Source organism: Homo sapiens, chromosome 21 (genome assembly GCF_000001405.40).
Source record: "Homo sapiens chromosome 21, GRCh38.p14 Primary Assembly".
Taxonomy (NCBI): domain Eukaryota; kingdom Metazoa; phylum Chordata; class Mammalia; order Primates; family Hominidae; genus Homo; species Homo sapiens.
In genome coordinates, this window is record NC_000021.9 from 42247589 (window position 1) to 42262558 (window position 14970).

General features: G+C 52.3%; 1 protein-coding gene across 12 annotated transcripts in view, besides 1 other annotated feature; it reads left to right on the top strand.

Annotated features, from left to right (window-relative positions):
• ABCG1 (ATP binding cassette subfamily G member 1) overlaps nt 1-14970 on the top strand; it is a 97556-nt gene that overhangs the window by 47900 nt on the left and 34686 nt on the right. The window contains exons 1-3 of one of the 12 annotated variants that reach the window (XM_024452141.2): nt 8746-9028; nt 11727-11917; nt 12401-12551. The exons of the other annotated variants lie outside the window; for them this stretch is intronic. Coding sequence (XP_024307909.1) covers nt 8761-9028; nt 11727-11917; nt 12401-12551 — 610 coding nt within the window. The 5' untranslated portion in view covers nt 8746-8760. Of the gene's footprint in view, nt 1-8745; nt 9029-11726; nt 11918-12400; nt 12552-14970 lie in introns of those variants that run through there. 12 annotated transcript variants of the gene reach the window in all.
• Nucleotides 13520-14020: an enhancer, noted in NCBI's record as "H3K4me1 hESC enhancer chr21:43681218-43681718 (GRCh37/hg19 assembly coordinates)". NCBI's record gives its function as "activates a minimal SCP1, AML or CMV promoter by ChIP-STARR-seq in primed H9 embryonic stem cells {active_cell/tissue: H9 hESC(primed)}" and the evidence as "EXISTENCE:reporter gene assay evidence [ECO:0000049][PMID:30033119]".

Sequence of the window (14970 nt, forward strand, 5' to 3'; positions counted from 1 at the left end):
GTTGATGGTGACCCTCCAAAATGGTACATACATGTCCCAACTCTCAGAACCTGTAAATGTGACCTTATTCAGAAAAAGGTCAATTTGCAGACAGATGTGATTAAGTTAAGGATGTCCAGATGGGGCCACCCCGGATTAGGATGGATTCAAAATCCAAGGACATGATCTTACAAGAGAAGAAGAGAAGAAAAAGTCACAGAGATGCAGGGGAGAAGAGACAGAGACATGTGGAGGAGACAGCCCCATGAAGATGGAGGCAGCCGTTGGAGTAACACAGCCACAGCCCACAGACGCCTGGGGCCAGCAAGAGCCTGGAGACGCAAGGAAGGACCCTCCCCTGGAGCCTCCGGAGGGAGTGTGGCATCGCGGACATCTCGATTTTGAACTTCTGCCCTCAGAACGGTGAGACGGCACATTTTGTGGCATTTTCTTGGGGCAGCCTGAGGTCACTAATATTATACAAAAGAAAAGGAAGCAAAGATGGTCATGAGAGAGCAACGTTTTGAAAAAGAAAAGTGGTAGGAAGCATAGAGAGGAGGATAAAGAAGATTAGGTTTCTTTCTGCTTATTTGTTAAACCTGTTCAAGCTGCAGTAAGATTGTCATGATCTCCGTCGTCATCTGATTTATCCCCCAGCCAGTTTCTCTGTAAAATCTGGAAAGATAGTAGTTGCTGAGGGGCCTCATTAGAGGATTGGTGTGAGAGTGGAGATGTGTCTGTTGCAGGACTCCTGGGACCTGTCCAGACAGCAGTGGTGGAGGGAAGCGAAGTGAAGTGCAGTTCTGTCTAAACTAGAGAACCCTGGAGCAAGGAAGACTGTGAGGCACCACCCGTGGGGGGTGCAGGGCAGCTGCCACAGACGTTGTTTGGCTTCATGAAGCTGAGTTGAAGATACGCACCCTCTGTGGCCCAGCATTTTCACTTCGACCTGAATACAGCGCTCTCAGCAGCACTGTTCATAACAACAACAAGACTGGATATGACCCAAATGCTCATTGAAAGAAGAGTGAATAAACCAGGCAGGTGCGGTGGCTCACGCCTGTAATCTCAGAACTTTAGGAGGCCGAGGCGGGTGAATTGTTTGAGCCCAGGAGTTCGAGAGCAGCCTGGGCAACATGGCGAAACCCTGCCTCTGCAAAATAAAAAAATTTAAAAAATTAAAAAAAAAAACACCTGGGCATGGTGGTGCACACCTGTAGTCCCAGTTACTTGGGGGGCTGAGGGAGGACTTTTTGAGCCAGGGAGATTGAGGTTGCGGTGAGCCATGATTGTGCCACTGCACTCTGGCCTGAGTGACAGAGCAAGACCTCTCTCAAAAAAAAAAAAAAAAAAGAGCGAATAAACAAACTGTGATGGGTCCACAGTGGAATATTATACAGCCCAGAAAAGAAATGAAGCACAGTTACAGGCATCAACAAGAACAGATCTCATGGACAAGATAATGGAGAGGGAGAAAAAGCAATTCCTGGAACACATGCAATGTGATGCCTTTTCTAAAAACTTCAAAACATTCAAAAGTCACCAAAATTGTTAAAGGATAAATACGAACGTGGTGCAAGATAGAGAAAAACAAGGATGTAATACCATTCAAGAGAGTGGGGACATCTGGTGAAGGCAGGGGACTGGGATGAGGGAGGGGCGCCGGGCCTGGGGTGTGTTGCTGAGATTACCGCCTGGCTGGCTCGTGGGCACATTTATTTTTCATTGATTTATTCATTTATTTTTCTTCCTCACATCTCACAAGCAAGTGATCTGCACAGAAAGTAAGTGTCATATTGTGTGTGGACTCCGGAGCCAGACCACTCAGTTTAAGTTCTGTTTCTGGTCGGTTTCACTTCTGCTTACTAGCTATGGTTCTTGGGGAAGGTTATTTTAGGTCTCTGGTGCCTCAGTTTTCTCATCTGGGTGTATTGAAATATGGACCTTGCAGGGTTCTGGTGAGAATTAAATGAGTTCTGTGTTGAGAATTAAGTGAGTTAATGTATGCGAAAGCTTAGAATCGTGCCCTGCGGCATAGTAGATCTATATAAGCATCAGCTATTGCCATCATCAGCATCATCATTTTGTAAATGTAAGGCAGTTTGAAATCAAAAAAGTAAAAAGACGGTATGGAGCTGTAAAGAAGTGAGAGGGAGGGCCAGGCGCAGTGGCTCACACCTGTAATCCCGGCACTTTGGGAGGCTGAGGCAGGCAGATCACCAGGGTCAGGAGTTTGAGACCAGCCTGGCCAGCATGATGAAATCCCATCTCTACTAAAAATACAAAAATTAGCCAGGCATGGTGGTGCACGCCTGTAGTCCCAGCTACTTGGGAGGCTGAGGCAGGAGAATCACTTGAACCTGGGAGGCGGAGGTTGCAGTCAGCCGAGATGGCGCCACTGCACTCCAGCCTGGGTGACAGAGTGAGATTCCATCTCAAAAAAAAAAAAAAAGTGAGAGGGGGATGAAGAGTCCTCACTGGGTGAGGAAGGTGCCCGTGTGTTGTGTGTCTTGGGTCACGTGTGAACACATATGGGGGTGCAGGGGGAGGGGGCGTTTAAAGGATTCTAAGTCTAAACCACTGAGGACTCTTGGGGACAGGAGGAGAGATGAAGACTGGAGGAGGAACTGAGGGTTTCTAGCTGCGCGTGTTGACCTTCTCCTGGGGTGGCACATCCCATTGAAGCCATGTTCCCAGGGGACAAGCAGAGTGGACCCAGCTCTTTGGGGACTTTGGTGCTTCCAGTCTTATTTTGAAGGCATTATAGAGGGGGTGGAAGCCAGATCCAAACCCAGTTCACTTCCCATTCCCTGCCCCATGCCTCAGTGGTCTTTGGTTTCCCGTGGGTGCTCTGGGCATCCTGCATGGAGGGGGACTCCAGGCTCCCAGAGATAGGCAGCCGCATGCAGTGGTGCCCAAACGTGGAGGAGCACAGTCCAGCTAGCCTGTTGGAAGAGAGCCCTGAAAACAGGGCTGGGACCTCCCAGGGAATGAGTCAGGGGCCACCCATGAGCCTCCCTGCAGGCCTCCTCTGGTGGCCGCTCATGGTCATTGAGATTTTAGTTCTTTGGGTCACACACACAGTGAGCGCCAGTGGACAGAACTTGCCTGTGTGAGGTCAGGGTCTCTCCCGCGGTACCCTCCATGTGGGCCATTCCTGAGTCTCATTTTCACTGATGGGAACATAACACAAACGTGCTTTGTCTCTCTTGCACTTACCCCTTTCCTCCCTGGCATGCTGTGCTGCTGGCATGGAGGCAGGGTCAGGAGCCCAACAAGGGGTGTGTGCGGGGTATAGGAAGGTGGCCCCCAGACCCCGCAGGGATCGGCTTGGGAGAGACCCACCAGACACATGAAGGGAAGCAACAGCAGCACTAAGTGGTATTGCTGGCAGGAACGGCAGGGATCACAACACAAAGGCAACAACAGAAACGAACACAGGGACAGCTCAGCGCCCAGCAGACATGAACTTGCCTGACCATACCCTGTGAGGAGCTAGGGCTGTCACTATCTCCTCTGGAATACAGAGGCCCACGGTCGGTCGGTGACCTACCCAGGAGGGAAGTGGGATTCAGACCTGACTAGTTTGCCTCCAGGCCCTACTGTTTTGACTCTCCTGATGGTAAAATGATGAGTCTGCAAATTGAACAAGTGCTTGGAGGAAGGAGGTTTGCTTTAGGTTTGGGCAGGAAAGGGAGGACCTGTATTCATGGAGGCCCAACCGGGTGGCAAATGCTTCACAGTCCTGATCTCATTTTGTCTCCCCAGCAGCACCAGGTGGAAGGAGGTACGTGTTGTTACCTCAGTTTACAAATGAGATAACAGAGGCTCAGCGAGATACACTAAGTTGTCTTAAGTCTGAAGATGAATAAGGACTCGATGTAGGATTAGAGCTGTGGCCAGCCACCGTGTGAAGTTTACTTGCTTCTTGGGGCCACAAAACTGGCTCGATGAGCGGGCAGGACAAGGTTGGGATGATAGGGTGGTCCTTTTCAATGGGATGAATGGCAGCGGCCAACGCATGTTTGGGAGACCCTGACCAGACCAGCCTGGTGTGGGGGAAGTGGAGGCGAGGCGGGGGGAATGGGAAACGTGTCTGGAAGGGCCCAATTGTGGAAAGAAGGCCTTGAACCCCAGGCCTAGGCACAGTCGGTCCTAGAGGGAGACAGTGGGGGCCCACCCAGAGAGAGCTGGGAGACTCAGAATCCCACTGGAGCCCCTACTCTTCCCAGGCAGGCCACGCCAGCACTGGCCTTGGGCATGGGAGGGCCTCCCAAGTCATGTGCAGGCCCAAAGTCCTTGCTTTACTTTACAAGACAAGCACAGAGCCGAGGCCCAAGGCTTGCATGTGGCATCATCTCCGTGTCCGTCGAATCTGAAAGGACCAGGGAAGCTCAGGAAGCTGAGTTCAGAGGCATCCCTCTGCTTGGCAGCCACCCTGACCATGCCATTGGGTTGCTGGAAACCCCAGCTGTGGAAACGGAACCGCTGATTCTGAAGCTCTCCCCGCAATGCTTCTTGGATGTGGCCATGCACGGGGGCAAGGGTTTGATGAGAGCATCTGTGCCATTGCCCGGACAAGAAGGAGCTGTTGGCTGTCATTCTTTCCAGAAATCTCAGCAATGTAAATGTTCAGGGAGAGCAATAAGACCTCGTGGTTGCCAGCCAACTCCTGCTTCTGGAAGCTTTCCAAATCTCCCTGTGCCTACCATTGTGCCTGTGCTGGATTTCTGCTTGTTTTTCCTTTTTCTTTCAGAGTTTGAATTTGGGTTTGGGAGGATAGTAATTTGATATATTAGAGCAGCGATAATCGCTGTCATTAAGCAGAACCCAGCTCCTTAATGTCTGTGTGTGGACGGGCCAAGTGCGAGCCAGTGTGTGGGGCTGGGATGCCTGAGAGCACAGAGAAACACAAAGCCAGGGCCGCCGGGCAGCTGGGGCAGGTTAGGGACACTTCTTTCGTTGTCCTGTTTGAGACTCAGCCATGGCTGCTTTGGATGGTCTCTGGTTGGTGTTGGACTATGATTTTTCTTTAGCGGGGGTGACTCTGATGTCATTCAGCTTGGAGATGTGTCCCAAATAAACCTTTAATCACAGAAAAGGTGCTTGGAAGGACAAGGGGCACCTTCCTGGCCCGGTGACTGCAGCTTGGGGATCACCCTCCCATTGCCTGGCTTTCCCTCCTACTTTCCGAGCAACCACCTCTTGGGTTTGGCGTTTTAAGGTTTCCCCACTTGGATTTTAACCCCCATTGGCAGCAGGTTTAGGAAAGCCATCAGAGGGAAGCCCTCCTCCCTGACATCATCCCCGCCCAGGTGGTGTTGGGGCGAGTGAGGTTCTGGTGCTGGGGAAGCTGCTGCTTGAGGATAGCAGTGGGAAGAAGTTTCATGGCAGCAGCTGCCACCTATGTGTTCTGCAGAGCACCTGGCAGGAGAGACTCGCCTTCCCAGTCTCGGCACGCCTGGATGCCGCATTAGCACACAGGGAGGGTCATGGTCAGAGCTTCAGGATGCAGTGGGCGAGGTGTCTAAGATCCAGATGCTAGCCTTGGAGGAGCTGGTGGGACAAAGGCTGTTCCCAGGGATTGCACCTGCCTGGCCCTGCATCCAGGGAGGATCCTTTCAGCTGGAGATGCCGGAAGTTGGCAGAGCTGGGGTAAAGGGCAGAAACATAAAGACCAGGTCAGCAGCAGCTCCAACTAAGGCAGATGCCCAGAGCAGATCAGAGAAGCAGACCAGAGATGAGCCGGCACCGCTGTGGGGGAAGGATCATCCCAGCCATCATGTGGTTTGGGGGAAAGCTGGGACCCCACTTGGTACAATTTAGGAAGGTACAGAAGAATGTGCATTCCATCATGTGGGTTCTGCTTCTCCCCTGAAGCCTCTGTCAAGAGCTGCTTTGGGTCTTGGTATGGAGAAATGCCTTCATTTGGCCAGACCCATCTGGCAGAGGCAGTCACGATGCCATTGGACCCCCAGGCAAGCAGCCCCTCCTAGAGAGCGAGGGTCTTGGAAGGCCTGGTATGACCCCCATGCCACTCTGTTTCCTAGGGAACCCTAAAGGGAAACCGCACGTGAGGGACTCCACTGAGATAACCCTGACGTCACCGTGCCACTGTGCCCCTTGTCTGCAGGGTAACTTGGCTTTGAAGGAGCATCAGGGGACCCTCTGTAGGACTGGGGGTGAGATCGATGGACCTGCCAGCTGTTATTGTTGGGATTATAGGGAAGTGAGGAGGTCGTGTGTGCCTCCTTGGGGTCTGAGTGCCTCCTTGGGGTGCCTAAGGGAGACTGAACATCATTTTGGTGATATTTATTGATGTAACTACTCCCTTTGCACGATATTTATTGATGTGACTATTCCCCATCACTTGTGGGATGCTGAGCTGTGCATAGCACAGTTCAAAATATCTGATCTAAGCAGGCAGGAAGGAGACAGCTGCTGGTGCTGCTTAGAGTTAGGCGCAGGGATGAAACCCATGAGATGAGGAGGCTGGTGGAGGAAAGGGACTGGGGGCAGTGGAGGGATGGAGAAATGGACAGAAGTATGGATGGGGAATGCTGAATGTGAGGGAGACCCCAGAACCGGATGACACAAGAAAACAATCCTTGGCTGTGGCCGGGTGACCATGTTAAGGCCATTAAAGTCATGCTTGGAGAAACCACATAGATGCTTGCAGCTTTGCCTGTCATCCAGTGGACTTCAGAGCACAGCATCCGTTCGAAATCCAGCGGCAGATTTTCATAGTCTGACAAATTAAATCAGCTGTTCTCCTGGCGCCAGAGTGGGCTTCCTGCCCCACACTCACTGAGGGGTGGTAGGGAGGGGTGGCCTGTCCTTTGCACACTAGTGGGCAAATGATACTGTCTTCATTTTATGAGCAGTTCTTGCCCCCTGTGACTTAGAATCCCTCACGTGTGTTTTGAGATCCATTTTGATGTTATTAAGCCCAACTTCCCAGACCTTCTTCCTGTTCTTCTTGTTGGCACAAAAGCCCCCTTCCTGTTTCAGAAGGTGCAAAAAGCAAGAGGATTGATCAGCGCGTGGCTTTGCCACATGATCACGAAAATGGAGGCGGTCGATGAGAAGGCCCTTAGGCATTAGGGGGAAGAAACAAGTAGAGTAAAAAGGAAATGTCACTGGATGTCATAGAATATGGATTTCTGTCCTTTCTGCCTTGAGCTTTCTCTTGGGGAGGGAGGAAGAGGGGTCTGGGAGAACAAGACAGCCCGTTCTGAGCAGAAGCCCCTTTCAGCTCTGGGCTGAGATGAATGGGGAGCGAGGGGGAGGGGAGGGAGTGTAGCGCAGCTGGGCTCATCCCATCAATGTTGGCATCCAAAGAAAAATCACGGCTTTGGGTGGGGAAACTGGGTCCTGCTGTGTAGTTTTCAGATTGAAGTTGATGTGAGACTTGGAGATCATTTGGCAACCTTATTGGTGCTATTGGCATAATTTAAATAATGGGAAGGATTTTATTCTTAATTGTTCCAGCCAGGTTTAGAAGCCTGGAAAAAGACCAGTTCTGCTTTTAGAAGTATAAAAATACCGCAGGGATGGAAAATGCTTCATGCCTGACAGGCAGATGTAAATGATTTCCAGTTATATTTCAGTACCTGCGCAGGGGCAGGGCCCCGTTGCTAGTGATCTGATGAACTAGTCAGCCAGTGGGGCGCGGTGTGCAGGGGGCGTGTGTGTGCACACAGGATGTATGTACATGGTGTGTCTGTGCCTACATATGATAGTGTGTACATGGTGTGTCTGTGCACGCATGATTGTGTGTACATGGTGTGTGTGCACATGATGCACATGTGTGTATATGGGTAGACGTGTATGTGATGTGTGTCTGAGTGCATGGTGTGAGTGCACACATGTCCATGTGTGGGTGTGTGTGCATGCGCGTGTGCCTGTGTGCACATGGTGTGTGCATGGCATGGGTGTGTATCATGGCCTGTGTGTGCACACTGTGTGTACAGGGCAGACGCACTCACTGAGGGCCCCTTCAGTTGTAATAGGCAGAAGGAGCGCACGAGGAGGCTGAAACGCCAGTTAGAATTTCAGCTGTGAGCTCTTCTCTTCCCCACTTAGGGCTGGGATGTTTTCACAGAAATCACAGAGCAGCTCTCAGAGCCCAAACTCATTGTTTCTCCTGGTTTTGTTTGTGTTGACTTTCCCTTTAATCCATGCTCAAGCCCCTCACCTGTTTAGAGGGGATGTGGCCCGACTTTCAATGAAAATCTCTCCAGTTCTCCTGCCGTGGCCTCTCGGGCTCCTGGGGAACAGCACCCTGAGCCTTCTCCTTCTTAACTGGTGAGTTCTGCAGAGAATGGGGCTATGGTTGATAGTGTAGTCTTTGGGAACTTTTGTTATTGGACAAATGTCCACTTTGTTTTCTAGGACATCTCTTTGTGTCCCCCAGAGTGAACCAGCTGGAGCCAGGGAGCCCCTAGAGCAGTAGCAGCCATTAGGGGGAGCCACTGGGAGTCAGGTGCCTTGACTTGGATCCAGGTGTGCACCCTTTCTTTCCAAGGGTCTCTGGGTGAGGCCCGTGACCTTCCCAAGCCTCTCCCTGTCTTGTGAAACCTGGGCGTGATATACCTCCCTTTTAGGGCTGCTGCGATCATTTAGGCAGATTAAACCTCATAAGTGGTTTCCCATACAAGAAAGATGCTAGCAGTGCAACAGACAGAACACTTACCTGCCTGCCCTCCCGCCAGGAGGTGGTCTTCCAACTTTTGCCCGGAGTCTACAGAGGGTGGGCCCTCTCTGCTGGGGCTCCGGGACATGGTCAGGAGAGGTTGGTCTGTCTGTACCGCCATTCTCTTGGCCAGACTGTGGTGTCTGGTCCCTACTCACACCTTCCTGTCAGAGTATCCAGAGGCCGCAGAGTATCCACACCCTGGCTGGGTGTACTGGCTACAGATGGCTGTGGCTCCAGGTCACCTGCGTGCCTGGGTGATGAGAAATAATGTCACAACAAATATCCCATCTGCATTCTCTGGGACACTGACCCATGAAGAGAAAGCAGTTCTCACAGTTTTTACAGGCACAGGTCAGCTCTCAGAGTGCTGGGGACAGGGTTCCCACCAGGCAGCCCTTTCTGCTCCTCCCAGAGACTGATGGCTTCTCTGCATTCAGAGGGATCTGGGAGCATTGCAGGAATAGGCTCTGGCTCTTCAGAAATGATCACGAGCTTAAGGAACTGGGTCTGCAATGTGAAGCCTTAGGTCCACTCTCCTTGGTGGGAGCTCATGCCCTCCCCAGGCTCCAGGACCCAGTCAGGATTCTTAATTCACGTGGCTATGTCAGCGCAGCTGTCACTCCCGGAAATGAAGAGAGACCCCTCTTGCCGTCCTTCTCACATTGCTTGCACTTTCCAGCATGCATTTTGTTGTGATGTTTTGTCTGTAATTGCAACTCCAGCAGCAGCCAGTGTTTATTAACCATTTTCTATATGCCGGGCTCAATGTGAGGCATTTCGAACACATTCTCTTGTTTGGTCTTCACAGACACCCTTAAGGTTAAGTACTCATTTCATGCCCATTACCAGATGAAGAAAACAAATTTTAAAAACTCAAGGAACTTGCCCAAGGTCACACGGCTAATTAGAGGCCGAATCTAGAGCCGATTTGGAAATTTCAGGGCCCACTGGAATCTCCTGGGTCATGCCCCAGGCCAATTCCTTCAGAAGCGTTTCTCAAACTCCCCAGGAGATTCCAGTCAATCAATTTGCAGGCAGCTTTTTGGGAACCCAGCTGGGCTGGAGTCTATGTAGAATATCCATGGCACCCGCAGCCTCTGCAGCATCTGGCCTGAGTTATTCTTCCATTGCCCGGTGCTATCATACAGATACAGGACTGGTGACTACAAACAGTGTTAGCAGGACGTACTTGGAGCTCATTTGGCAGTGGGAGTGGACGTGCTGGGGGCCATCCCCCTTCCACCTGAAGCGTTCTTGTCCTAAAGCATGTTGCTGAGACAGCTGTGTAGGGCGTGGCGGTGACCCTGGGGAAGGACCGTACTGAGAGCTCCAGACTCCAGCCAGCCTCCTCACTTTGGCCACATTCCAACAATGCTTACTGCCTTCCACAGTGGATGAAATATTCCAGAAATCAGAATGTGTTGAAATGTGTGGCAAAGAAGAATGTCATACTTGCATATGTGCTTACACTGGCCACTGAACTGCATACACAGTCCCAAGAGGTCTCCCTGCACCGCGAGGCCCATGCTAGAAAAGGCGTTCTTCAGGAACAGACTGAGGCTTCATGAAGATCCTTCCCTCCATCCATCACTCCATTAATCCTCCCCTCCATTCATCCCTCCACTCATCCCTTCATTTACTCCATCCATCCTTCCTCCCATTTTCCCATCCACTCCATCAGCCTCTCCATCCATCCCTCCACTCATCCCTTCATTTACTCCATCCATCCTTCCTCCCATTTCCCCATCCACTCCATCAGCCTCTCCATCCATCCCTCCACTCATCCCTCAACTCACCTCTTCATCCACTCCATCCATCCTTCCACACTTTTCCCCATCCACTCCATCAGCCTCTCCATCCATCCCTCCATTAATCCTCCCCTCCACTCATCCCTCCACTCATCCCTTCATTTACTCCATCCATCCTTCCTCCCATTTCCCCACCCACTCCATAAGCCTCTCCAACCATCCCTCCATCTGTTCCTCCATTAATTCTTCCCTCCACCCATCCCTCCCTTTATCTCTCCATCTATTTCTCTCTCCATCCCTCCCTTCATGTCTTCCTCTATCCCTCCTCCATCCCTCCCTCTATTCCTCCCTCCATCCCTCTTTCCATCTCTCCCTCCATCCTTCCCTCCATCCCACCTTCCATATCCCCCCCATCCCTCCCTCCATATCTTCCTCCATCCCTTCCTCCATCCCTCAATGCATCCCTCTCTCCATCCAGAGTTCACCACACCCTGAGTCCCCAGTGCTGCACTCCTGAAACTCACTCTGGGATTTGCAACTGGGGGTTGCCTTGAACATGTTCCCTGTGTATCCGGTTGAATTTTGGAAACACCCATATCTCCATCCACTCTATCAGCCTCTCCATCCATCCCTCCATCCATCCCTCCATTAATCCTCCTCTAGAGCATTCTACTAGAGAACAGCCGAGGTCAGCCTTCCTCTGCCTCTCAGGGGAGTAGGGCGCCTGCTGGCAGCTGCTGTAAGACTCGGGATGAGGGCTGCCCCCTGCAGGTGGCTCTGAAAGCTGCAGCTCTGAGTGGTGCCCCCAGCAGCAGCTTTGTTCCCTAATTAGGAGGGCACAGTGGCTGTCTAGAAGCACCCAGGAGGGAGCTGCTCCAGAACTTTCTTTATCAGCTGACAAATCAACCTTCTCATGTGAGGGGAGTTTGAGTCGTTCACTCCAGAATTCTGGAGAACCGTAGGATTCGGAGCTCCTTGAGGGCATAGCCAGTGCTTTCCCTTGTTCCTGGTGGTGATCCAAGCTTGCCTTTCTCTCAGACCTGCCTCAGTTGTCCTGTTCTCATACCCTGTTTTCCCCCAAGAACACAGGGTGCATCCCCAGCCTTAGCTGGATTTTCTTCCACCTTGCAAAGGCCCCTGCCTGGGAGACATGTCTTGGTGTGAGAGAGACGACATTGCGTTCCCAGATGTCGCTGGTGCTGGGCTCAGCTCCAAAGTTCTGGAGCAGAGTCAGCAAAGCACAGCCTGGAGACCAGATCTGTGCTCTGCCTGAGTTTGTAAGTGAAGTTTTGTTGCAGTAGCCACAGCCGTGCATGTACAGGTGGCAGCTTTAGCTTCTGCTAAACTGGAGAGCTCAGTGTTTGTGACAGACTGCGTGTCCTGCAAAATCGAAAATGTCTGTGATTCAGCTCTTCAGGGAAAAAGGGTGCCGATGTCTGGCCTACAGGGCTCAAGCATTGTCATCATGCCCCCATCCAACCGTCCACTCAAGGTGCATTGACTGAGGCTGGCTGGCTGGAGTCATCATGTGGGCCCTCAGGCTATGGAGGCAAATCGAGTGGCATTGCCTCTGCGGAGCTGGCCATTACCTTGTTTCCTAACTGTCACTCATTTGATAAAAACTGACAAGGTTGCTAGAGCCACGTGTTTGCAAACCAGTGGGCATTCGCACGTGCATGTAATCCACACAGTTACTCGGTGATGGGAGTATACTTGAGGGAAAGCAGCTCACAGATTTGCCACTTGCCACAGGTCATGGTTTAGGAAGAGGCAGAGGTGGGGTGTTTTCTCATTAGCCCATTCCCTCCTCCCTTTGGATGGAAGAAAGGAAAAGAGCAGGGGAGAGAGAGGCCAATGGCAAAGGAGCACAGCGGGAGAAAGAAGGCCCCCAGGCTTGAGCGGCCCTGAAGCTCAGCAGCTGTGGGTTGGACGGTGGTGTTGGCTTGCTCTTCCCCTTCCCTCCTGGTTTCTTCAGGCCAGTGCGGCATCCTGCACGTGGTCAGTCCAAGTCCAGGGAGGGCCCCATCACCTGGGGGTGGTCGCTATCAGTGGCAAAGTCTTGTCAGCAGCTCATGGGGCAGGAAGGGCCTATGGTTGGGGGTTTCCTGGCGATCCCATGGAGGAAGGTGAGGATGAGTTGTGTTGCTTCTCGGGTGAAGCTGGTCACGTGGCCCTAAAGGCATTCAGAGTAGATGCTCACTTCAACCCTGCAGGTGGCATTGGGCGGCAAGCATTTCTAGGACCCAGCTTCCACCACGGAGCCGAATGGTGGCCCGGCTGGGGCCAGGGCTCCTCTCGAGGGGGCCTGAGATGCTGAGACCCATGACGCTGCTGCTCCTGCCAGGGGCTCATCACCTGTGAAACACAAGCCGGGGAGCCTGAGTGTGGCAGAGTCTCCCTCCCCAGGGTTCCCTCTGCAGGATTTTGTTTGGGTTCTTTTGAAGTTGAAAAGATTTTCAAAAGAGCTCACCAGAATATCTAAAACCATGTTATTTAGGGAGGAGAGGAGCCGCATGGAAGGGCCCCAACTCCCCAGTGACCCCCTCCACCAAACGCACACCAACTGGTGGCATTAGAGGTGACAGTGCAGCAGGATGGACTTCTTACTTCCCCTCTCAGTCTTTGCACTCAGCCCCAAGCAGCTCCTGCCAAGGAGCCAAGGAGAGGAAAATATCCCTTAGCAGGAAGGAAGGAAAATAGAGGCATCCCAGAAACTGAACAAGGACCCAGAAAGCAAACCCCACCTCTGTTCCCCCATGAGCTACCCACTTTTCCCCACAGCCCCACAGCTGTGTGCCTCCCTCTCTCCCATTTTCTTTTTTTTTTTGAGACGGAGTCTCGCTCTGCCAGGCTGGAGTGCAGTGGCACCATCTCAGCTCACTGCAACCTCCTCCGCCTCCCTCGTTCAAGCGATTCTCCTGCCTCAGCCTCCTGAGTAGCTGGGACTACAGGCGCCAGCCACCACACCCGGCTAATTTTTTGTATTTTTAGTAGAGACAGGGTTTCACCATGTTAGCCAGGATGGTCTCGATCTCCTGACCTTGTGATCCACCCGCCTCGGCCTCCCAAAGTGCTGGGATTACAGGCATGAGTCACCGTACCCGGCCCCTCTCTCCCGTTTTCTACCCTCTTTCTTCTTCTAGTACGGTGAGGTGGGGGCGGGTGCTCTTGTCCTCCTTCCCCCTCTCCACCACCCCCCCTCTCCCGCCCCACCCAGGCAGCTCTGGAGTCCTGCTGGCTGCAAGTTTACTAAACGGAGGCATTTGTGAGGGGATTTCAGATACCCTGCTGTGCTCAGGCCAGGGTGACAGTGTTTTGATGTTTGCGGTTGGAAAGCTGACCTCCTGGATGTGGGGTGACGGGAGCGGCCGGTGGGAACAGTACTGTCTGCATGGCATCTTCTCCCATGAGAAAGGATGACTCCTGAGAAAACAGACAAGCAGGATAGCAAACTCCATCGCAGACTCCCTGGCCTGGTCGAAGGGGCACAGAATCCACAGGGGCCTGGGGGAAGCTTGGGCAGCTCCCCACCCCCTCTCTCCACTGAAACCCCGAGCGAGAGTCCCTCTGTGTATCGGGGACTGCCCGCTTGTGAGGAGACGCATTGCCTCGCTCTGGCTTGGAAGAGGAATGTCCTGCCTGGCCCGGCCCCCTCGGGAAGCTGGCGGGTGAGTGAACAAGACAAGGATGGTGAAACACGCTGCAACCTCGGCCGCGGAGCTCCATAAACACAGGATGGCCTCTTGTCCCTGCTGTTTATCCACATTTATGTTTATGGCGTACTTAACTCACGGAGAGGTCAGAACGCTGAGCTATCAGAGTAACATTTGACATTTGGACAACCACAAAACAAGGCCCTGATTCTCTGCGGGTGCCCACTTCACCTGGTCCCAGCCCAGCCCAGTGCAGGTGGACAACACGCCTTTGTTGGTGCTGCTGGGAAACAAAACCCAATGACCGATCTTCCCCAGGGTCTCTCGAGAAGCAGCCGGCCCCTTTCCAAACTGCAACTCGTTCAATGAAACCTGAGTGAGCTAGTCACTTGCTTATTATGTTCTGCAGGTAACCAGGACTGGGGGGTTAATGGTTCCCAAGGGGCTCAGATCCCTTGGTTGCTGGGCAGGTAGTAGGAGAGGTTTTTCTCACACGAAGCCTTAGGGAGCATGCATTTGGCTTGGGGAAGCATACTTCCTAGCAGAGGCTGCAAGGAGTCCTTCATGTAAACAGGGCTTGAGTCCTCCGTAAGGGACAGGAGACCTTCCCACATCCTGGCAAGAATTCTTCTTTTTTCTGAGGATGTTTTGTGGAATGAAAAATAAATTGAAAGGTAAAGGTCAGTTGCACAAGTGAAGATCTCTTTGAATGGGCATAGGAATTCTTACGGCCGTAGATTTCAGAGCATCTCACTGCATCAGCGCTGCCAGCTACCCTGCCCACACCTGGGTGGTATTCTTAGCCTTAGGTGACCCACGGGGTTTCTTCTTTATGAGGGGAAAGGCTTGAAATTCCTTCTGATCCTCTGTTCAATATTTCATGCGATATCAG